Source organism: Homo sapiens, chromosome 21 (assembly GCF_000001405.40).
Source record: "Homo sapiens chromosome 21, GRCh38.p14 Primary Assembly".
In the NCBI taxonomy this organism is placed as follows: domain Eukaryota; kingdom Metazoa; phylum Chordata; class Mammalia; order Primates; family Hominidae; genus Homo; species Homo sapiens.
The window spans coordinates 45755612-45779556 of record NC_000021.9 but is presented as its reverse complement, the minus strand read 5'-3'; the positions used below and the strand labels follow the sequence as shown (position 1 = coordinate 45779556).

At 43.6% G+C, this 23945-nt stretch overlaps 1 protein-coding gene across 19 annotated transcripts in view; it reads right to left on the bottom strand.

Moving 5' to 3' along the window:
• PCBP3 (poly(rC) binding protein 3) overlaps window positions 1-23945 on the bottom strand; it is a 298726-nt gene that overhangs the window by 162894 nt on the left and 111887 nt on the right.

The window sequence follows — 23945 nt, the reverse complement described above, 5'->3', positions numbered from 1 at the left end:
ACCTCCTCCACTTTGAAGAACCAAAAGAATGTACGGTCACTTTCTGAATACATTACCCAAGAGAGAATGTGAATTCAACAGAGAAGTAACAGGAAATACCAAAAGCGAGTTAAGGAAAAGGAAGAGGGGGAGCCTGCCTGGCTGGGATTGGTCAGGAGCCAAGAGTGACTTCCCAACACAAGGAAAGGCTGAGTGAGAAACTTCCAGTGGCCCACATCCCCACCAAGAAATCATGCAATTCTGGCCATGGGAGACTCCCTCAACCCTCACCAGCCCTGAAAATAACATCAGGAGATGCCAGGAGACTGTGGGACAGAGCTGCTTCAGGGAGGGAGCTCATGCTGGGTCCTACAACTCCCTGAGACCTCAGTGGCTACAGCAAGGCACCATTTTCAAACCTAGCCTTTGGCAGACTGCGTGATGTCCTAGGGCCCAACAGCTACTGAGGCATTATGGAAACTCAGGCTGTCGCTGCTGGGACTGGGGAACAAGCTGGGAGTGCTCCCACAGCTGAGGATAAGAACCAAGTGAGGCACAGCCTACTGCCACCAGGGCTGGGGGGCAAGCCCTGTGGGGACTGGGAGCTGAGAGGGGTGTGCATTCCCTATCCATCAACCCAGGCTTTGGCCACCAAGGATGGACCCACCTGCTCCAGTGGCAGGGATCAGTGCAGCTGCTCCCACTCTTCACCCAGCACTCCACCTGGGGCCTGAGGATCGACCCACCCCTGCCAACCAAAGCTGGTACCTGCCCTCACTACTGGGGGGTCTTGCTTGAACACAAGCCCACCCAGCCCAATTTCACCCTCTTACCCTATTCCAAGACAGAGCATGTAGCCCAGGGTCCCAGGCATTGCCCAACCCAATCCACCATTGTGGGTGCCTTAGCACTCCTTCCAGGGGCTTGAGTTTGGGTCTCATCTCCCAGCTGCTATCACCTCAGCTGGCACCTACCTGCAAGTACCACCTGTGGATCTGACGACTGGCCCTCCCTGCTCATCACAGCCACCACCAACATAAATGTACATTGCCTAGGACCCAGAGTATCATCCCACCACTGCTATTGTCATCGCCCATGCCAGTTTCCCAGGGGCGCAAGAACCCACCCACCAGCTTGGTCCACTGCTGCTATTACCAGTATCCAAGCAAGACACATGGAGGCCCAATAATCGGCCTACTGGTAACCACCAGCATAGGTGCCAGGATATGCCACCCTGGGACATAAAGATGGGCACGCTCAATCCAATGCTGCCTCTAGTGGGGCCTTAAGTCTGGCTCACCTGGCATCCCAGTCCCCAGCACAACTTCAGCACAGCTCCACTACTAACTGCACCCTAACCTACTGAAGAAATCACAGACACCACCAATGCTGTTTACAGACAAAGATATCATACAGAGACTTCACTACTGCATGCACCCAGAATCAAACCCAGAATATCCCAACCAACATGACAGATTCATCTTCAGGAAAAAGTCCTCCCTATGAAGTGAATTCAAAAATAGGAAGAAGCAACTATTATACTAGAAGTGCAGAACAGACATCAAAGTATGAACACAAGAAACATGAGAAACCAAAAAAAAAAAAAAGGCCCTCCCCAAAGGAACACAATAATTCTCCATCAATAATAGATCTTAATCAAAAAGAAATTTTTGAAATCCCAAATAAAGAATTCAAAATATTGATTTTAAGGAAGCTCAGTGAGATACAAGAGAATTCTGAAAAATAATACAAAGAAATCAGAAAAAGAATTCATTATATAAATGGGAAATTTATGAAAGGGACAAATACTTAAAAAAAAAACAAATTCTAGAACTGAAGATTCATTGAAGGAGATACAAAATACATTTGAAAGCTTCAACAATAGGCTAAATCAGGCAGAAGAAAGAATCTCTGTACTTGAAGACAAGTCCTTGGAAATAATCCAGTCAGATAAAAATAAAGATAAAAAAGAATATGGAAATCCTTTATGACATTTGGAACAACATAAAGTGATAGAATATTCTAAATATCAGTATCCCCAAGGGTGAAGAGATAAAGGCAGAACTAGAAAACCTATTTAATGAAATAATAGATGAAAACTTTTCAAGTCTAGCAGAAGATTTAGACATTTAGATAAAGAATGTTCAGTGATTCCCAGGCAGACGCAATGCAAAAAGGTCTTCTCTGTAGCATATTATGTCAAAATCTCTAAAGCCAAAGATAAAGAGCAAATCCTAAAAACATCAAGAGAAAAGCATCTAGTCATCTATAAAGGAAATCCCTTCAGACTGACAGCAAATTTCTGGGCAGAAACCTTACAGGCCAGAAGAGAATGGGATGATATATTCAAAGTAATGGGGGAAAAAAACAAAAAACAAAAAAACCTGCCATCCAAGAAGACTATATCCAGCAAAATTATGCTTTGTAAATAAAGTCCTTTCAAGACAAGCAAATGCTGAGGGAATTTGTTACCACTACATCATCCCTACACGAAATGCTCAAGGGAGTCCTAAACCTGGAAGTACAAAGATGACATTTACCAACATGAAAATACATGAAAACATAACTCAGTGGTAAAGCATCACACAAAGAAGGAACAGAAATGGCTTAAATGGTACCACTAGAAAAATCCACCCAAATTAATAAGAGAAAAAGAAACAAAGAATACATAAAGCAAGAAAACAACCATACGACAGAAACAAACCTGTCATATAATCGCCTCAAATGCAAACAGGTTAAATGCTCCAGAAACAGAACGGCTGAATATATTTTAAAAACATGATCCAACTAAATGCTGCTTACGAGAAACTAGCCTTGTCAGTAAAGACACATATGAACCGAAATTAAAGGGATGGAAAAAAATATTTTGTACAAATTGGAAACCAAAAGTGACCAGAAGCTACAGTTATATCAGATAAAATAGACTTTAAGTCAAGAAAGGTAAAAGACAAAGTCATTAAATAATGATAAATGGATCAATCCAGGAAGAGGATATAACAATTCTAAATATATATATATATACCCAACACCAGAGCATCAAGATTCATAAAGCAAACATTACTAGATCTAAAGAGGGAGACAGACAGAGAGAGAGAGAGAGAGAGAGAAAGAGAGACTCAAGTACAAAAACAGTGGGAGAGAGAGAGACTCAAGTACAAAAACAGTGGGGGACTTCAACACCCCACTCTCAGAGACTGATTTTCACTCTAGAGAGAAAATCAACAAAGAAACATTAGATTTAAATTGGACTTCAGACCAAATAGACCTAACAGACATTTACAGAACACTCTACCCAACAACTTCAGAATATTCATTTTCATCAGCACATGAAAGGAACATTCTCCAGGACAGACTACAAAACAAGTCTCAAAAAATTTTTAAAAATCATATATCAACTATCTTCTTAGACCACAACAGAATAAAACCAGAAATCAATACCAACAGGAACTTTGGAAACTACACAAATAGATGGAAATTCAGTATGTTCCTGGGTCAATAAAGAAAAAATGAAAATAAAAAAAATCCTTGAAACAAATGAAAATAACACAACATACGAAAACCTGTGTGATACAGCAAAAGCAGAGCTAAGAGGGAATTTTATAGCAATAAATGCCTACCTGAAAAAAGCAGACAGCTTACAAATTAACAGTCTAATAATGCATCTCAAGGAACTGGAAGTGCAAAAACAAACTGAACCCCAAATTAGCAGAAGAGAAGAAATAATAAAAATCAGAGGAGAACTAAATGGCATACAGACCAGAAAAATAATACAAAGGATGAATGAAACAAAAACTTGGCTTTTCAAAAAGATAAACAAAATTGATAAACCACTAGCTAGACTAACCAAGAAAAGAAGAAGGCTGGGCACAGTGGTTCATGCCTATAATCCCAGCACTTTGAGAGCTGCAGTGTGGGAAGACTGCTTAAGGCCAGGAGTTCAAGACCAGTCTGGGCAACATAGCAAGACCTTATCTCTAAAGAAAAATTTAAAAAGTTAGCCAGGAGTGGTGGTACCCATCTGTAGTCCTAGCTACTTGGGAAGCTGAGGCTGGTGGACTGCTTGACCCAGGGGTTTGAGGCTGCAGTGAGCTGTGATCATGCCACTGCACTCCAGCCTGGGTAACAGAGTGAGACCCTGTTTCTAAAAATTTTTTTAAATAAAAAAGAAGAGAGAAGAACCAAAGAAAACAAAATCAGAAATGAATAAGGAGGCATTTAAATTAAACTGATACCACAGAAATACAAAAGATCATCAGAGACTATTATAAAAAAAAAAGCTATATACTCACAAACTAGAAAACCTGGAAGAAATGGATAAACTCCTGGAAGTATACAACCTGCCAAGACTGAGTCAGGAGGAAATAAAAATCCTGAACAGACTAATAAGGAATAGTGAGACTGAATCAGTAGTAAAAGCCTCCCAATACAGAAAAGTCCAGGTCCAGGTGAATTCACAGCAGAATTCTACCAAAAGTACAAAGAAAAACTAATACTAATCCTCCAGAAACTACTCCAAAATATCAAAGAGAAGGGAAATCTTCCTAATTCATTCTACAAGGGCAGCATTACCCTGACACCAAAACCAGACAAGAATACAACAAAATAAAACTACAGGCCAATATCCCTGATGAACACAGACACAATAATGCTCAACAAAATGTTAGCAAACCAAATCCAACAGCACATCAGAAAAATAATACACCATAATCAAGTGAGATTTATACCAGGAATACAAGTATGGTTTAACATACAGAAATCAATAAACATGATATATCACATAACAGAGTGAGTGATAAAAACCATATGGCCATCTCAATAAATGCAAAAATGCATTTGATAAAATTCAACATCTCCTCATGATAAAAACTCTCAACAAACTAAGCATAGTGGTAACATACCTCAAAATAATGAAGCCATATATGACAAAGCCACAACCAACATAATACTAGAGAAAAGCTAAGAGTGTTCTCTCTAAGAATTAGAAGAAGATAAAGATACGTACTTTCACCACTCCTATTCAACATAATACTGGAAGTCCTAGCCAGAGCAGCCAGGAAAGAGAAATAAATAAAAGGAAACCAAGTTGAAAAAGAGGAAGTCAAATTGTCCTTCTTTGCTGATGATATAATTTTATCCAGAAAAAACTAAAGTCTCCACCAAAAAGACTTTTTTTTCTTTTTTTTTTTTTTGAGATGGAGTCTTGCTCTGTCGCCAGGCTGGAGTGCAGTGGCGCAATCTCGGTTCACAGGTTCAAGGGACTCTCCTGCCTCAGCCTCCCGAGTAGCTGGGATTACAGGCACGCACCACCACGCCCAGCTAATTTTTGCATTTTTTTTTAGTAGATATGGAGTTTCACCATGTTGGCCAGGATGATCTCAATCTCTTGACCTTGTGATCTGCCCACTTCAGCTTCCCAAAGTGCTAGGATTACAGGTGTGAGCCACCACGCCCGGCCCCATAAAACTTTTAGATGCGATAAATGAATTCAGTAAGTTGCAGGATACAAAATCAACATACAAAATCAGCAGCATTTCCACACACCAATAGTGATCTAGTCAAGAAAGAAATCAAGAAGACAATCACATTTACAACAGCTACACAAAATACCTAGGAATAAATTTAACCAAGGAAAGGAAAGATTTCTATAAGGAAAACTACAAAGTGCTGATGAAAGAAATTGAAGATGACACAAATGGAAAAGCATCCCATGTTCGTGGATACGAAGAATTAATATCATTAAAATGACCATATTGCCCAAAGCAATCTACAGATTCAATGCAAGCCCTATCAAAATACCAACCTCATTCACAGAATTAGAAAAAAAAATTCTAAAATCCATATGGAACCAAAAAAGGGCACAAATAGCTAAAGCAATCCTGAGCAAAAAGAACAAAGCTGGAGGCATTACATTATCTGACTTCAAAATATATAACAAGGGTACAGTAACCAGAACAGTATGGCACTTATATAAAAATAGACACAGAGGTCACTGGAGCAGAATAGAGAACCCAGAAATAAAACCACAAAGCTTCTGGTTTAATAGTCCCATTAAAAAGTGAACAAAGGACATGAATAGACATTTCTTAAAAGAAGACACACAAACAGCCAAGAAGTATGTGAAAAAATGTTCAACATAATCTTCAACAAAGCTGACAAGAACTTACACTGGGGGAAAAGGACACCCTCTTCAATAAACGGTGGTGGAAAAAATTGGATAGCCACATGCAGAAGAATAAAATTCGACCTTATCTCTCACCATACACAAAAATCAATTCAAAATGGATTAAATACTTAAAATGTAAGACCTGAAACTATAAAAATACTTAACTGTAAGACCTGAAACTATAAAAATACTTAAATGTAAGACATGGAACTATAAAAATACTAGAAGAAAACCTAGGGAAAACTCTCCCGGACATTGGTCTAGGCAAAGAATTTATGACTAAGACCGCAAAAGCATAGGCAACAAAAACAAAAATAGACAAATGGAACTATATTAAATTAAAAAGCTTCTGCACAGCAAAGAAAACAATCAGCAGAGTGAAAAGACAACCTGTTGAATAGGGAGAAAATATTTGCAAATTATTCTTCTGACAGAGGACTAACATCCAGAATATAAAGGGAACTCAATCAAAAGGGAAAAAAACAAATAGTCCCACTAAAAAGTGAACAAAGGACCTTAATAGACATTTCTTAAAAGAAGACACACAAACAGCCAAGAAGTATGTGAAAAAAATGTTCAACATAATTAATCACCAGAGAAACGCAAATCAAAACCACAATGAGATGTCATCTTGAACCATTCAGAATGGCTGTTATTAAAAATAGAATGGCCATAATAAAAAAATAACAGGTGTTGGTGAGGATGCAGGAAAAAGAAAATACTTATATATCATTGGTGGGAATGTAAACGAGTACAGCCACTATGGAAAACAGTACAGAGATTTTTCAAAAAAACTAAAAATAAAATTACCATTAAATCAAGCAATCCCACTACTGGGTATCTACCCAAAGGAAATAAAATCAGTATATCAAAGTAGTACCTGCACTCCTATGTTTATTGCAGTACTATTCACAATAATAAGATATGGAATCAACCTAAGTATTGATCAAAGGGTGAATGGATAGAGAAGATGTAGTATATATACACAAAGGAATACTATGCAGCCTTAAAAAAGAATAAAACCATGTCAGTTGCAGCAACAAGGATGGAACTCAAAGTCATTACCTTAAGTGAAATAAGCCAGGCACAAAAAGACAAATATCTTATGTTCTCACCTATATGTAGAAGCTAAAAAATTTGATCACATGGAGGTACACAATGGAAAGATAAATACTAGAGACTAGGAAGGGTGAATGGGGGTTAGGGGAGAGGATGAAGAGGAAAGGAAGTGGATTACAAACCTTCAGTAAGATAGATGGAATAAACCCAATAATATCAGAGTAGGGTGAATGTATTTAACAAAACTATATTGTATTCAGGTGATGGACACCTTAAATATCCTGACTTGATCACTACACATTATACACATGTAACAAAATTTCACGTGTCCCATAAATTTGTATAATTAAATAAATAGGTTAACAAAAAACTAATAATTTACTTTAATATTTAATTATTTGTTGCTGGTATACAGATATACAATTGATTTTTGTATGCTGATCTTACATCCTGCAGCCTTGATAAACTTACTCATTAGTTCAGGAGCTTTGTTTTGATTCTGCAGTAGGTACTATAGGGTCAAACATGCTGACTGAGAGGAAAGACAGTTTTACTTCTTCTTTTTCAATTCCAATGCCTCTTTCTTGACTATTGAACTTGCTAGAACCTCCAGTAAAATACTGAATAGAAGAGATGAGAGCAGGTTTCCTTGCCTTACTCCTCATCTTAGGGGAAAGTATTCAGTCTTGCGCCATCAAATACGAGGTTAGCTCTAGATTTTTCATAAATACCATGCATCTGAGGAAGATTCCTTCTATTGTCAGTTTCTTGAACGTTTGTATCTGAAAGGAGTGTTGCATTTTGTCAAATGATCTCACTGCATATTCTAAAATGATACTGTTTTTCGTTTTTAGTTTGTTAAGACGGTGAAATATACTGATTAATTTTAGACAAAATGATGCTCTGAAAATGCTCAAAGCTTACATTTACTTTTCAGTCACCCACCACACTAAACTGCTAATTAATGCTAAATGTCTGGTCAACCGAAATCTCTAAGTCTTTACTGAACGCCCACCATGTGCTTGAGACAGAACTTTAGTGACCTCATCATGAACATGCGTCCCATGGGACCCCGTGTGGAATATTAATTAGCCCACTGTCTAGTCTCAAAATACATAATCTACTGGACATAAACATGCAAAAAACTTAATGTTACAATATTCAAATCCTGGTTCAAGGCAACAAGAGCAGCTGGATCATAAAGCACCAACAATTCTATCAATGGACAGCAATGCAGACCCCTGGCTGAGCCAGGGGGAAGGAAGAGCAGGCCTTCCGGCCAGGACATGAGGACTGGCTAAGGGAGACAGGTGATTCAGGCACACATGTTTACACTCCATCTTTCCCAAATTTCCACTGAATTGATTGAAGAAATCAGGAAAACAAACCACTGGAAAGCACAGATGCAGGGCCCTCCGCAAGCTCCCATGTGACGGCATGGGCAGCGGGTTCTAGAGGCCCCTCTCCTGCCCTTCCTGAAAAGCAGTGTGCCATGGAGGCAGTGGGTGAGGGAGATGCTGGGGATACATGGCTGCAGAGGCTGGCCCCAGCCACACAGGGTGCCACATGGGACCAGAGGCCACCAAGCCCCCTTTCAGCACCCCACAAGGCTGGGGGGGACCCAGAACTGGTGTGCACACATTGCATGAAGCTGATGGCTCTGCCTCCTGCTACTTTCACATCCAGCTCAGGGTCCGAATAACCTTAAAGGAGATCCCGGTGAAAAATGAGGGCTCACAGCAGAAAATGTCCATACATGCACGCTGGGAAGAAGGCAAGACCAGCACTGACTTCTCCTTCAGGGAGCAGCAAACAGAAAGAAAGAAACACAGAAGCCATAAAAAAATCTCTGCCACATGAAGAAAAACACAACAACACAGCAGAAGGTAGAAGAATGCATGTTCAGAAATATGCACAAAAAGAAACAGGTTATTTTAGTCAATGGCCTGCTATGTGCTTTCAGAGACAAGAAGGAAAAGAAAAACTCAATGAAACAAGAGATTAAAAATTGTAAAACGATAGTCTAAAAAGAAAAGGAAATATGAATAAAAAATTATATTTGGCTTCAAAATAGCTTTAGATAAAGTCTAGAGGAACTGTAATCATGAGAAGAAATGATCAAAATTTCATTTACTTTCCATATTCTTAATCTTCTGTTCGCTAATTTGACTTCAGGGGAGAGGAGGCGCCCCTTCGGCGGAGTTCAGGGGCGCCGTTCAGACGGACACAAGGAGGGAGGCCGGGTCGCCGTCGATTATGCACCATGTCCAACACGAGGCCGCCACCTGCCAACCCCCCGGCGTTCACCATGTCCTGTGGTGGTGAGCACTACCATCTCCACGGCCCACTGTGTGCCTCAGGGCTAAACAAAACCTCCTGCAGGCTAAACAATGTCCAGAAAAGTTCTTCTTCCATTTTGTCTTCCCACAGACTCAATAATAAAGTGTATTTTTCCTAACAAGAGATGCAGTTTCTGCTGGGCTGAGTCACAGAGCTGCCGTACTGTTAAGCTTTCTCTGAAATATGTCACGTCACATTTCTATCACTTGTGAAACGAGCGGCCCATTTTCCCTCCCTGAATATCACACACTAGTTACACTCCAGAGGCCTGCCTACGAGAGACGGCCAGCCAGAGTGAAGACCTGGCAAGGCAGAAATGCAGGACTTTAGGACCCCAGAGAGAACCTGCAACCATGGGTGGGGCAGAGGCAGGCTGGCCTGCACGCCAACCCAGAGTTTCAGAGAAGGCACCTAAAAGGTCCAGACACCAGTTCTCTCCTCTGTAGGGGGAACACAAGACCGGCCTGGATAGGCGGTTCTAAGAATTAAACTGAACAAAGCACAGTAGGGGCCGCCCATTTGAAGATCCCTTTCATTTCAGAGACGCAGGTGCTCCAGCTGCACGCACAGGCGATGCGCCCACAGTCCCAGCACAGGCAGCAGACAGCCCTGCGTGAGCACCCGCGTCTTCTAATGGTGAGCACGCACTGTCACCTGCACTCAGGGACAGGTTTGGGAGGGCGAGTTTTACCCTGAGGAATGGGTCGTCCAACACTCCCTCAACTGTAGAAACCTGTGTACACTCAATTCAAATAACAGAATAACCATGGGAGAGCACTGTGGGAAAACCCACCCATCTCATGCCACCCACAGTGTCTTGTGGGGCCCTGGAACTGAGCTGGGCCTTAGCCAATGCCCAGTGAATGCAAGAAGACAAGGATTCAGTGGAGAAACAAATGAAAGAGGGGCTGAGGCTGAGCTAAGTCAGCACAGGCAATGCAGTCTGTAGCCAGTGCCACACAAAGCCTGAACCTTACTTCTGGTAACAATCCCCAAACAGCCCTGAACAGAGAAGCAGAGACACCGTCCTCCTGGAAGTCCTGACACGTGCTCACCTCCTGCCATCGGTCATCATGCCCTGATTGCGCCTTGGAGCTCTGGCATCCCCGAGTCAGACGGAACAGGCAGAGGTGCCTGTCGTGGAGACGAGGGGACGATAGCACTGCAGGCCAGGGGTGCCTGGCTCCCTGCTCACAGGGCAGGCACAGCACGTCCTCAGCCAGGCCTCCAACTGCAGATGGCGCCCTGGGAAAGCCTGCTGCCACCATGGGGAGGGCAAAGCACACCAGTGCAATGGGGTAAAAGTAGCAGGAGGCAGAGCCATCAGCTTCATGCAGTGTGTGCACTCAACTGGAGTGTTCTGAGTCCTCTTCAGTGTTTCCTTTGCTCAACAAATTTAAATCTCCACAACTCAGAAAGGAAAAGTTGTGCTGCTGTACTACACTAAATCAAGTTGAATTACCAGGAAGCTATCACACAAGAATGTGGTAATGATATACTGGAAAATGTGAATACATCTCCCCTCAAATGCATCTGCTTTGACACCCCTAAGACACCATGACGGTGCCCCACAGTCTGATGCTCAGTAACAAGAATTCTGCCAGTGATTTCCACTGAGCAACAGAAACGCCTTCAGGAATTTACTGTAAGCAAAACCACAGCCAAGTATAACACAATATAACAGACGTGAGAGTCTCGCAGTGCTGGAAACCTTCATCTTGTCCAAGTGCTTTCGCTGAGAAACGTGAGGGTGGCTCACTGCCACCCACGCAGGGAGCATCAGCAAAGGCCCACGCAGGGCTAGGCCTCAGCAGGCACCACACGGCCACACACAGAGGCACCCCACAGCCCAGGCTCTCCCCACCAAAGGGTGAGAAGGCAACTGCCCCACAGTGTGTGCCCCAGTGCAGCTGGGAGGGAAGCAGCCAGCCACCTGCAAGACAGAAGCTGGTGCATCGTGGCAGCAAGGACACTGGCACCATGGCCTGTGGCCAACGTGGGTAGTGACACTGGTCCTAAAACTACAGGCATCCTTCTCAAACAATCAAGCAAAAACAAACCTGCTAGAGTTCACTAAACAACAGCAGGATCTGTGCCCTTGCTCACACTGCCTGCCCCTCTAACAGCCCTCCCTCTGCCTGCTCAGGACCAGCACAGGCCCCCTCCTCTCTGAGAGCCTGTCAGTGCCCTCTAGGGCACCACCTGCAGGGGCCTGGGGCCTGACATGAGCACCGGAGCAGGAGCAGAGACCCTGCCATGGCCTCCCGACTGGCCAGCACAGAGCTGCCTCACCACGAAGGTCTGTCCTATCCTGAGCAAGTCCTTTTACCTCCCCATGCCCCATTTCTTAAAATGGGGATAAAAAAGTGCCACCTCAAGAAGGCAAAACAGTGCAGTGCGGCTGCTGTGGAAAACGGTCTGGTGGTTCCTCAGTCAGTTAACACAGAGTCTCTACGTGTCCCCCAGGTCCACTCCTAAGGAACTGAAAAGAGGTGTCAAACAAAAACTTGTAAAAGAATGTTCATGGTGGTACTATTCACAATAGCCGAAGAGCAGGAAAAAAACCAATGTCACTAATCAATAAGTGGATGTGGTATATTCATACAACAGAACATGATTCAGCCATAAAAAGGAATGAAATTCTGACACATGCTACGATGATGCAGATAAACCTCAAAAACAGGATGCAAGTGAAAGAAGCCAGACGCTGTGTGGTTCCATTTATATTAAATACCCAGCATGGGCAAATCTGTAGACAGAAATTAGACTAGTGGCTGCCAGGGGCTGGGGAAAGGGGGGATTGGGAGGGACTGCTTAACGGGCACAGGGCTTTACTTTGGGGGGGTGAGAATGTTCTGGAAGTAGGCAGACGTGGTGGCTGCGTAGCATGAAGACTGTGCTCAATGCCACTGACTTATACACTTGAAAACGGCACAGTTTATGTTATGTGAATTATGCCTCAATTAAAAGGGGGGAGGGGAGTGACCCCTCACAGAGCTGCTGTCAGGGTCAAAACTGAGTACTGTGTTAGTGAGTGAGTGTGTGTGTGAAAGTGAACATGTTTCTAGTCAGTGTCTGACAGACTGTAATGATACCACTCTTGTTGTTGTTGTTGATTGTGTTGGCTTTCTCATTTGGTTTTTTCTTTTTTTAAAGAAAGAAAGAAAAAGCTCTAAATAATGCACAAGTTAACTGGCTATGAAGCCCTAAGGGAGAAAGGAGACTCTCAGGATAGGCAGAGTCCTGGCAGCTACACACCTTTCCTGTTGAGAGGAAATCGGCCTCTTCCCTCCAGTCTTTTCAATGACCAATGAGTGACGGGGACATCTGTGGGCATCTGCTGGGGCCTGTGCTCACACAGGCCAACTGCAGGCTGCTTTCCCAAAAGTGTAACCGTGAGGTAAAAAGTGCTTTCATCTGCTCAGCTGCCATAACAGAACACCACAGACTGGGGGCTTCCACGGAAGCTGGAAATGGAGATCAGGGTGCTGGCTGGGTTGGAATCTGGTGCCGGTGTTCTTCCTCGGTTTTGCAGATGGCTGCCTCCCTGCTGTGTCCTCACATGGGTGCAGAGAGAGAGACAGCTCTCGCATCCCTTCCTCCTCTTACAAGGCCATAGTCCTCTCAAATTCGGGCCCACCCTTATGACCTCAGTAACCTTAATCACCTCCCAAGGGCCCCGACTCCAAAAGCAGTCATACTAGGGGTTTGGGCTTCAACACGTGAACTTGGGGGCACAATCCGGTCCATCGCTGGTGGTATCTGAGGAGGAGAAAGTCATGTGAGGCACAGCAACACATCAAAGCGTGGCCAGCCACTCCAGCGGCCAGTCTGCAGGGCAGGCGCCTCACTAAGGATGGCTGGTCAATGCCGCTGCTCCCTACATCCTCAGCCTGGGACTGTGAAGCCGTGGATGACGATGTTGTACGGACCCACGTCAGTCCCACAGGAGACAAGACCATGGGAGAAAATGCTGCTTTAACTGTGCCAACATTTCCACATTTAAAAGGCACAGTAGCCCACATCCAACATCACTGACCATTAACGTTACTGCACTCATCCTTCCAGGCTCCAGGAGACTTCTGAAGGCGTCCACTTGAATACATTATTTTTCAGCACAATTATGAGACTGAACAAAATTTGAGCCTTCCCCGTTCTCAGGAACATGAAGGAAGCACATCGCCAGTGCTTATTCAGGAGGAATGACTTGTTTCTGTATTTTCTTATCAACATCATCCACAGTTACTCCAGAGAACAGTCGTCCCTGTGGAAGTCCCCATAGCCCTAAACTGAAGCCGATGTCTGGACATGAGGGGCCTCCTAGGGACCATCCAGGAGGCAGGAGCCAGGAGACAAGCCCCCGACCCCTCAGGAAGGCAGACAATGGAAGAGCCGCGCTGGCAAACCCTCCCAGGACCAGCATGGCACTGTCCTCGGTGCCCTCACCAGTCCCAGGAGCCCCACGGGGAGGGGCAGCGCGCACCCTGGGGTCTGGCAGGCCCAGCCCGCCGGGAGAGCACATTCGCAGCTCCTCACTGTAGCTGCTGACTTGGTGTGACTGAGGGGTTTTCTCTATTTGAGCTGTCCTCCTATTTAACTTGTTGTTTCTACCAACTTCACTTCAGGACCATAATTTTTATGAAACAAAAAATCTGATTACCTCACCTGTTTTCATCTGGCCAATGCCCGCCCCAACCTGATGATGCAGATGGTGCTGTGGGAAGGGTTTCCCAGGCCCCAGCCTGGCCACCCTCTCCTCTCAGCACAGATATCCTGGCACCCCTGGAGGGTCACCCTGGTGCCCAGTCACCCAAGTCCACAGGGATATCTGCTCATGCCTCTCTGTCTATCCCCACCTTCCCCTAAAGGGCACCATCCCCAACTCAGCAGCTGCCCACTGACCCTGCACCATGCTGTTTCAGGCACACCCATGCCCTCTGCACACACACCAGCAGGTGTCCATTCTATGGGCTGTACTCACACATGGACAGCAGCAAGTCCACGTCTCGCCACAGGCTGGCCCAGGCCCCATGGCCCACCCGGGGCCTCGACCACTGATCCTTCCTGTCCAGCTCCAAGGCTCTGCAGCCAAACTCCCAGACCTCCCCCCTTCCAAGAGCAAAGCTTCTCCGGCATAGCCCCAGCCCGTTCCCAGGAAGCGCACATCTGTCTCCACGCTTATAATTATCACTTAGCAAGCACACAGACGATGGCACCACTCTTTCCCTTGCTAGAATGTGGTAAATGGAAAACTAACATTATAAAGCTATTTTTTACATTCTGTGATTTGTTTTAAATTAAAAGCTTGAAAACACTCTTGAGCTGGCTGACTCCATGTACCCCAGGTGTACTCCTAAGCACAGCTGCCTGCCCACCGTCCAGAAAACTGCAGCAAAAGCTTCTCTGCAAGCCCCCTGCCTTCAGCCTGCAGCTGAAGTTTCTGAGAGAGGCTCCATGGTGGGCAGCAGGGTTAACGGAAGTGGTCAGAAATAGGGTCAGAACATGCAGCACCCCTCACTTGGCGGGTTAACTAATACACAGCCAGCTTGTTTTGCTATAGCACAATTGTTGAATTCAAGAAACTTTGTATTACTGGCCGACCACGGTGGCTCACGCCTGTAATCCCAGCACTTTGGGAGGCGGAGGCGGGTAGACTGCCTGAGGTCGGGAGTTCGAGACCAGCCTGGCCAACATGGAGAAACCCCATTTCTACTAAAAATACATAATTAGCCGGGCGTGGTGGCGCATGCCTGTAATCCCAGCTACTCGGAAGGCTGAGGCAGGAGAATCGCTTGAACCCGGGAGGCGGAGGTTGCGGTGAGCCAAGATTGCGCCATTGCACTCCAGCCCAGGCAACAAGAGCAAAACTTCATCTCAAAAACAAAAAAAAAAAAAAGAAAAAAAAAAGAATGAGAAACTTTGTATTACAAAAGCAATTATCTCACTAAGAACAAAAGGGAGGAGCTAGACAGCTTCACTCACAAATAATAAAGCTATTTTTTTTCTGCAGATGTTTCAACAGGAAAAGCCATGTATGACATTCAAAACACCGTATTATTAGAAGCTCATTTAATTGTTTAATGCAGACAAAAATCAAGGCTAACTAAAAGCAGATCCAATGACCCAGTGATCAACCTAGAGGTTCCCACGGCCAAGGGCAAAGGGAGGGAGTGCCATGAAGCAGCTTCCGGGGAGAGAGAGGAAGGGGGCCTGCCTGAGAATTCGCTCTGTGTGGGCAGTGCCCACGTGCAACCAGCGACACTCGCCAGGGCACTGATGAAACCAACCGCCAGCGAGCAGCACGGGAGACCCGCGGGGAGGGCGCGGCCCTGGCTCTGCCACCTCCCTGCTCCCGGACCACACTGGTGGGCGCAGGCAGACGATCCTGATGCTCGACCACGGCCGCATCTCATCTGGGGGTGCCCTCTGCTATTCTTATCCTACAGGCGTTCAACCCAAAAAAAACTTTGCAGTGAACTTTGCCTCTTCCTGTTTCTCCTGAGGATGCTCCTCTACGCCGAGTTTAGGAGAAGAGAGTGAGAGGAGCAACAGTGAAAGGCCAAGGGAACAAATCCATCCGCGGGCAGCCCCTTCGCGCCTTCTCCACTGCACCCTGAGCCCTACAGCTGAGAAGCGGAGTCCTGAGACTGTGCCAGCACCGCACGCAGAGCCTGGTGTGTGGTCGGAGCACAGCGTGAGCGGAATGAATGCTGAATAAATAATTATCATCCTACACACATTCTAAGCCAGAAATAGAGAAATGTTACAGCCCTCAATGGTGGGAACTGCAAAACCTCAGCCCTGCAAAGCATGCCCCATGTAGGGGCAGCGCCACTGCTGCTTGTGCGGCTCAGCTGACCGAGCGGAAAGCCAGAGGGGGCACCTCCGGAGAGTCGCCGAGCACTGCTGCTCCAGTGACCAAACGTCCGGCCTTCTAAGAGGTATGTGTCAACCTCAATCCTAAACAAGCAGCAAGGAAGATGTGGATACTTACTGTCCCTTTAAGTTAAATTACCTAGAGAAAACCTATCCTAAAAGAAAAGGCAATGAAAGTAACCACAAAAGTGATGAGACAGAAAAGCCATGGCTCACATGACCCCCTGGAAGGGTTGCTGCTGGCCTTACCTACAAGGCGAACGTGGAAAATCCAAGAAGTCCTCAATGAGAGTGAGGTGGTTTGAGAAAATGCCCACAGATTGTTGGATACATCTCTCTTAAAAAGGCAGAGCACAGGCCGGGCGTGGTGGCTCACGCCTGTAATCCCGGCAGTTTGGGAGGCTGGGGCAGGTAGATCACTTGAGGTCAGGAGACCAGCCGGGCCAACACTGAGAAACCCTGCCTCTACTAAAAATAATAAAATACAAAAAAGTTAGCCGGGTGTGCTGGTGGGCGCCTGTAATCCCAGCTACTCAGGAGAATCGCCCAAACCCAGGAGGCAGAAGTTGCAAGGTTGAGCCAAGATCATGCCACTGCACTCCAGCCTGGGTGACAGAGTGAGACTCTGTCTCAAAAAAAAAAAAAAAAGAGAAGAAAAGAAAAGAAAAAGGTGAAGCACAATTACCCTCCCTTAAGACAGGACTGACTTGGTAACGCACATGGAAAGAACATAGTGTGGCAGAAGGGACAGGGTGTAACACCCGAGACTGGGACATGCAGGCCCCGTGACCCCTCCTTGCTCTCTCTCTCTCTCTCTCCAATCGCCTGCTCAGGAAAAGTGAATGGCAATCCCACAGACACGCACGCAGCCCTGTGGGGAGGCCGCAAGGTGCTGGGCTGAGGCCTCCTGCCCTTGCCCTGTGAGAGCACCCTGGAAGTGGGCTGTCCAGCTGATGTGCAGCCTCAAAAGAGACCCCAAGCCAGACCCACCCACGAAAGGTACCCCTGAATTCTGGACTCATAAAATCTCTTAGATAATACATATTTGTTGTTTTAACCCACTCAGTTTTGCATTGGTTACACAGCAATAGAAAATAAAGGAGGCAGATGAAATTGATGGAGAAACAATTGCAACGAAAACAGAATACACAATGCACGAGCCTGTGTCAGGAATGACAGTGCATTCCACGGAAGAGTTGCACAGAGAGAGACCAGTTACAAGATGCCATCAGGATAACGGGAGCTGCGCTGGGCAGCTGGGCCTTCCGACATCCTCCCTGGTTGCGGTGGCAGTGGTGGTGTCTGCTCCAGGTCAAGGCTGGCAGAGAGGGGAAGGGAGGGCCAGCGCCTCAGGCAGTCACTGCACCCTCAAGGCCCAGGACACTCACGTCCACAGGACAAGCATCCCGCGGCTCACCTACTGTCCTCACCAGAGACCAACCACACCCACAGAAAGGCCAAGAGGCATTCTGGAAACACAAACCTCACTGAGTAACAAAGAAACAGTATTTGAGGAAAGCCAATGTGATGAAAGAGAGACGCCAGACTGGAAGGAGGGACGGTCATCTGAGAACATACAAAGCAAGTGGCAAGCGCTAGTTTACACGTCCAAGGTGACCGTCACATGCTCTGTCCAGGCAAGAGAGGCAAGTGGACACCCTGAGAAGGAAAAATGTTGTCAAAATAAAAACCTAATATGTGAACCTAGGAGTAAAATGGACACAGCTTGCGAGCAAAGAGACAGTGAGAAGATGAAGCCAAGGCACTCTCCAGAATGCAGGTGACGGGAAAAAGAGACAGTAACAGATCCAAAGAGGTCCAGAAGGAATGACCATGGAGCGGAAAGAAAGAAAACAGCATTCAAAAAGGCGACAGAATAGAATTCCCCGGGCTGAAGAAATAAGTCTTCAGAGTGAAAGGACCCAAGGAACAATGTCCTGCTTAAGTTCAGAAAATCCAAGGCTGAGGAGAGAGCCCTGAAAGGCTCCACGTGGCAACACTGTGCTAAAAGACAGTGGAGTTCTGAGGAGCAGCTCTTCCCACGGAACTTTTTTTTTTTTTTTGAGATGGAGTCTCGCTCTCTGGAGTGCAATGGCGCAATCTTGGCTCACAGAAACCTCCGCCTCCCAGGTTCAAGCGATTCTCCTGCCTCAGCGTCCCGAGTAACTGGGATTACAGGCACCCGCCACCATGCCAGGCTAATTTTTATGTTTTTAGTAGAGACGGGGTTTCACCATGTTGGCTAGGCTGGTCTCGAACTCCTGACTGCAAGTGATCCGCCCCACCTCAGCCTCCCAAAGTGCTGGGATTACAGGCATGAGCCACCGCGCCCGGCCTCAATGGAACTTTTAAATCATCTAGCCCATCAATATTTTAGACATTTCCAATATGTCTGGATTTATTTACTATTTTATGTTGTGTTTTCTACTTTTCTCATCTTTCTGTGTTCAACTATCCTCTTTTGCCTTCTTTTGGATTTTTCTCCCCATTATACATTTTTTTCTTTTTACTCTAAACTTAATTACATAACTTATCAAAGCCTAATGTCCCCACACTCTACCCACGCAATCCCAGGACCTTAAAACTCTTTAATTCCATTCCCTTCCTGCTGACATGACCTTGGAGTCAATTATTTTAGTTCTACCATTTGTGGTTTAGCCCAGGAGACATCTGCCTCAAGCCTGTTCAATTTACTCACATGCATACAACTTTGTTTATAATGCCTTCTTAGAGCTCGGACTTTCCATAGAAGACAACCTTCTCTCCTCCTGAAATAGGTCCTTTAGAAATGCTTTTAGTAGCCAGGCATAGTGGTGCATGCCTGTATTCCAGGTGCTCAGGAGGCTGAGGCAGGAGAGTGGACTGAGCCCAGGAGTTCGAGGCTGTGGTGCACTGTGATCATGCCTATGAGTAGCCACTGCACTCCAGCCTGGGCAACGTGGTGAGACCCTGTCTCTAGAAAAACAGAAATACTTTTAATAAAGTCCTATAGGTATCAAATTATCTCCACTTGTGTTTGTATAAAATGTATTTATTTTTCTATAATTCCTGAAAGATATATTAAGTATATCAGTTAGTGCAAAAGTAATTGCAGGTTAATGGCAAAAACTGCAATTACTTTTGCACCAACCTAATAGAATGTCAGTTCTTTTCTCTCAGCACGTTAGATATTATCCAGCTATCTTCTCCTTTCCACTGGTGCCAGTAAGAAGCCATGTCAGCCTTAATGTTGCTTCTTTGAAGGCAATGTCTTTTCTCTCTGTTAAGATCTTGTACTTGTCTTTGGTGTTCCAGAGTTTCACCATGATATGTCTAAATATAGACTTCATTTCACCAGGCTGGTATTTGTTAGAGTTTTTGAAACTGTAGATTGGTGGCTTTCACACACCCTAGAAAACTGTTAACCATTATTCCAAATGTTACTTTTACTCCATTGTCCCCCCTTCTCTTTCTGGAAAACCAATGAATTATATGTTATAACTTGTCCATGTCTCTCCATGTCTGAAATCTTCTCTTGAATAGTTTATATCTCTTTGTCCCTCTGGGCTGTGTTCTGTCTGTCTACTGTGGATTACAGTAAAAACCAGAGAAGGAAGGTGAATATGAAAAGAAATGATGAGAAGTACAGAGTAAGAACGTCTGACATAATGTAACTGAGGTTTCCAAAGAAGAGAAAAATAATGCGGCAGAGGTGATATTTGACAAGATAAAAAACATGGAATGTTAGCGGAAGCTGTTCCGGATGATATCAAACAAAAACTCAGATCCACACAGAAAAAAATCTTATAACAATTAAAGAAACTGAATTCACAGTTTAAAAACTCTCCAACAACAACAACAAGAAACTCCAGGCCCAAATTGCTTTAATGGCAAATTCTAATAAACAATTTAAGAAAGATAAAACATGACTTCACACAAACTCCTGAAAACAGAAAAGGAGGAAATCCTTCCCAAATCATTTTATGAGGTCAAATTTATCTTAACAGCAAACCTATACAAAGCCACTTCAAGGAAAGAACACTACAAACCCAAATCCCCCATGAATATAGATGCACAAATTCTTAACAAAATCCCTTTACTGTAACACATCATAACTTAGTAGGATTTAACTTGGAAACCTTCGCTCAACAATCAAAAATCAAAGTAATTTGCCATTATATAGATTAAAAATGAAAAACCATACATTATTTTAATTGATGTAGATAAAATATGTGACAAAATTCAACTAGCATTCATGATAAAAATTTTCAGCAAATTCCTTAACCTGATAAAAAGCTATCATCATACTTAAGGTGAGAAACCAGATGCTTCCCCCAAGAGCAGAAACAAGACAAAGATGTCCCTTCTCACCATCTCTAATCAACATCCCACTGGGGATCCCAGTAAGTACCCTAAGAGAAGTAAAAGAAATAAAGAGCCTGTGGGTTAGAAACTGTAAAAAAATAATTAGAGCTACAAAACAAGTTTAGTAAGATTGCAAGATACGAGATCAATATATAAAAATGAGTTATATTTATTATATACACTAGCCAAGAAAAACCCAAAATAAAATTAAGAAAACAATTACATTTATAATAGCATGGAAAAGCAAAAAATACTTAGAATAAGTTTAACAAAAATGCAAGACTTGCACTGTGAAAACTATCAAACATGTTGAAAGAAATCACAGAGGGGCTAAATAAACACAAAGCCATCTCATGTTCCTGACTGAAAGACTTCATATTGTTGTCATGGCAATACTCCCCAAATGTATCTACAGATTCAAGGCAATCACTGTCAGATCTGCCATTATTTATTGAAATGGCAAGCTGATCCTAAAATTCACATGGAATGCAACAATGACAAAAAAAAATAGTCAAAATTTCGGAAAAGAAGAACTAAGAAGACTCACCCTTGTCAATTTCAAAACCTATAAATCTCCAGGATCCAAAACATAGTACTGACTTAAGAATATACATAGACTGGCCAGGCACGGTGGCTCACGCCACTTTGGGAGGCCAAGGCGGGCAGATTGCCTGAGCTCACGAGTTCGAGACCACCCTGGGCAACATGGTGAAACCCCGTCTCTACTAAAATACAAAAAATTAGCTGGGCATGGTGGTGCACGCCTGTAATCCCAGCTACTCGGGAGGCTGAGAGGCACAAGAATCAGCTGAGCCCTGGAGGTGGAGGTTGCAGTGAGCCGAGATCGCACCACTGTACCTCAGCTTGGGCTACAGAGTGAGACTCTGTCTCAAAAAAAAAAAAAAGAATATATATAGACCAATGGGTTAGAATTGAGAATCCAGAAATAAACCCTCCCATCTATGGTGAAATGATTTCTGACTAGAATACTAAGACCATTCCATAGGAAAATAATCATCTTTTTAAATATGGAGTGCTGTGACAACTGAATATCCCCATGCAAAAGAATGACTCTGGACCCCTACTTCACACCACAGACAAAAATTAATTGAAAATGGGCCAAAGACCTAAATGTAAGAGCTAAGACTACAAACTTCTTAGAGGAAAACACCAGTGTACATCTCCATAACCTCGGATTAGCCAGTAGTTTCTTAGCTATGACTTAACTGCACACAACCAAAGAAAAAACAGGTAAAGTGAACTTCACTGAAATTAAAAACTTTTGTTTGTCAAAAGGTACTACCAAGAAAATGAAAAGACAACCTACTAAATGAAAGAAAACTGATAGCAATCTTATCTCTGAAAGTGTCTAGTATCCAGAATATATATATTTAAAAAACCTACAACTCAACAATAAAGAACAAACAATTTAAAAGTAGGCAAAAAACTTGAATAGACATTTTTCCAAAGAAGATATACAAATGGCCAATAAGCACAAGAAAAGATGTTCCACATCACTAGTGACTTGGGAAATGCTAATCAATACCACAGCACGATACTACTTCAGGCCTACTTGGATAGCTGTACCATAAAGAAATAGAAGATGGGTGTTGACAAGGATGTGTGGAAACCGGAACGCTCACACATGTGGGTGGGAATGTCGAATGGTACAGCATCTGTGAAAAACCACTTGGCATCTTCTCAAAAAGGTAAACACAGAGTTAAGATATGACACTACACTTCTACTTCTACATATAAACTCAAGCTAAGTTAAAATATATGTCCATATAAAAAACTTGTACAGGAATGTTTGTAGAAGCATTATTCATAATAGCCAAAAAGTGTAAACAAACTAAATACCCAAAAAGTGTAAACGAACTAAATACCCGTCAACTATAATGGATAAACAAAATGTGGTCCATCCATACAATGGAATATTATTCAGCCATAAAAAGGAATAAAGTACTAATACATACCATAACATGCATAAACTTTGAAAATATGCTGAGTGAAAGAAATCAGACACCAAAAGCCACATGTTGTATGATTCCATTAATACAAAACTTCAGAGTAGGCAAATCCATAGGAACAGAAAGGAGGAAGAAGGAGTGGGGAGTGACTGCTCCTGGGGTTGTTTTACGGGTGGTGATAGTGATAATGGCTGTACACGCTAGCGAATATACTAAAAACCACTGAAGTCTATGGTGTGTGAATTATATCTTAATACAAACAAGATAAAATGGAAATAAAAGTTTTAAAAACATGCATATTCTCCCCAAATTGTTCTGCAGATCCAACACTATCTCAATCAAAATCTCAGTGGTCTTTTTTTGTAGAAATTGACAGCTGATTCTAAAATTTGTATTTTAGAATCAAAGCAAAGGACTTCATAGGAAAAACAATTTTGAAAAAGACCTACATTAGAGGACTCATTGTACCTGATTTCAAGACTTATTATAAAGCTACAGTAAACAGAACACTTTGGTGCCAGTGAGAAGACAGGAATGGAGTGCAGTGGACTGGAATACAGAGTCCAGACAGATGCCAGCACAGATCGCTGTCTGGTGAAAGAGCAAAGATGACCAGTGAAGAAGATAACAGATCTCTGAACAAACAATGCTCAAAGAAATGTACATCCCTGGGGGAAAGTGAACCTCAACTCTAATCTTGCACTATATATTCTTAAAGTGGCTCAAAATGGATGGGGGATGGGGAATAGATCAGAGACCTAATTTAAAGACCTAAAACTATATAATTTCTAGGAGAAAACAGGAGATAATCTTTGTGACCTTGGGAATGTGCAGAATTCTTAGGACACAGGAAATACAACCATAAAAGACAAAAAATGACAAATTTTACTTTACCGAGATTAAACAATTCCGTTTCTTTAAAGACATTAAGAAAATAAAAATTCAAGGCATACTTTAGGAGAAAACATTTGAAAAATACATATCTGATAAATGACTGGTATTCATAGCATATAACAAACCCTCACAAATCAACAATAAGAAAACAAACAATATAAAATGTTTTAATTTTAATGGGCAAAATGTATGAACAGACACTTTGCCAAAGAAGACATACAGATGGGAAACAAGCATGGGAGGAAGGTTCCGTATCACATGTCACCAGGAAAATGCAAATTAAAACTATAATGTGACACCATTACATGCCCACTAGAAAG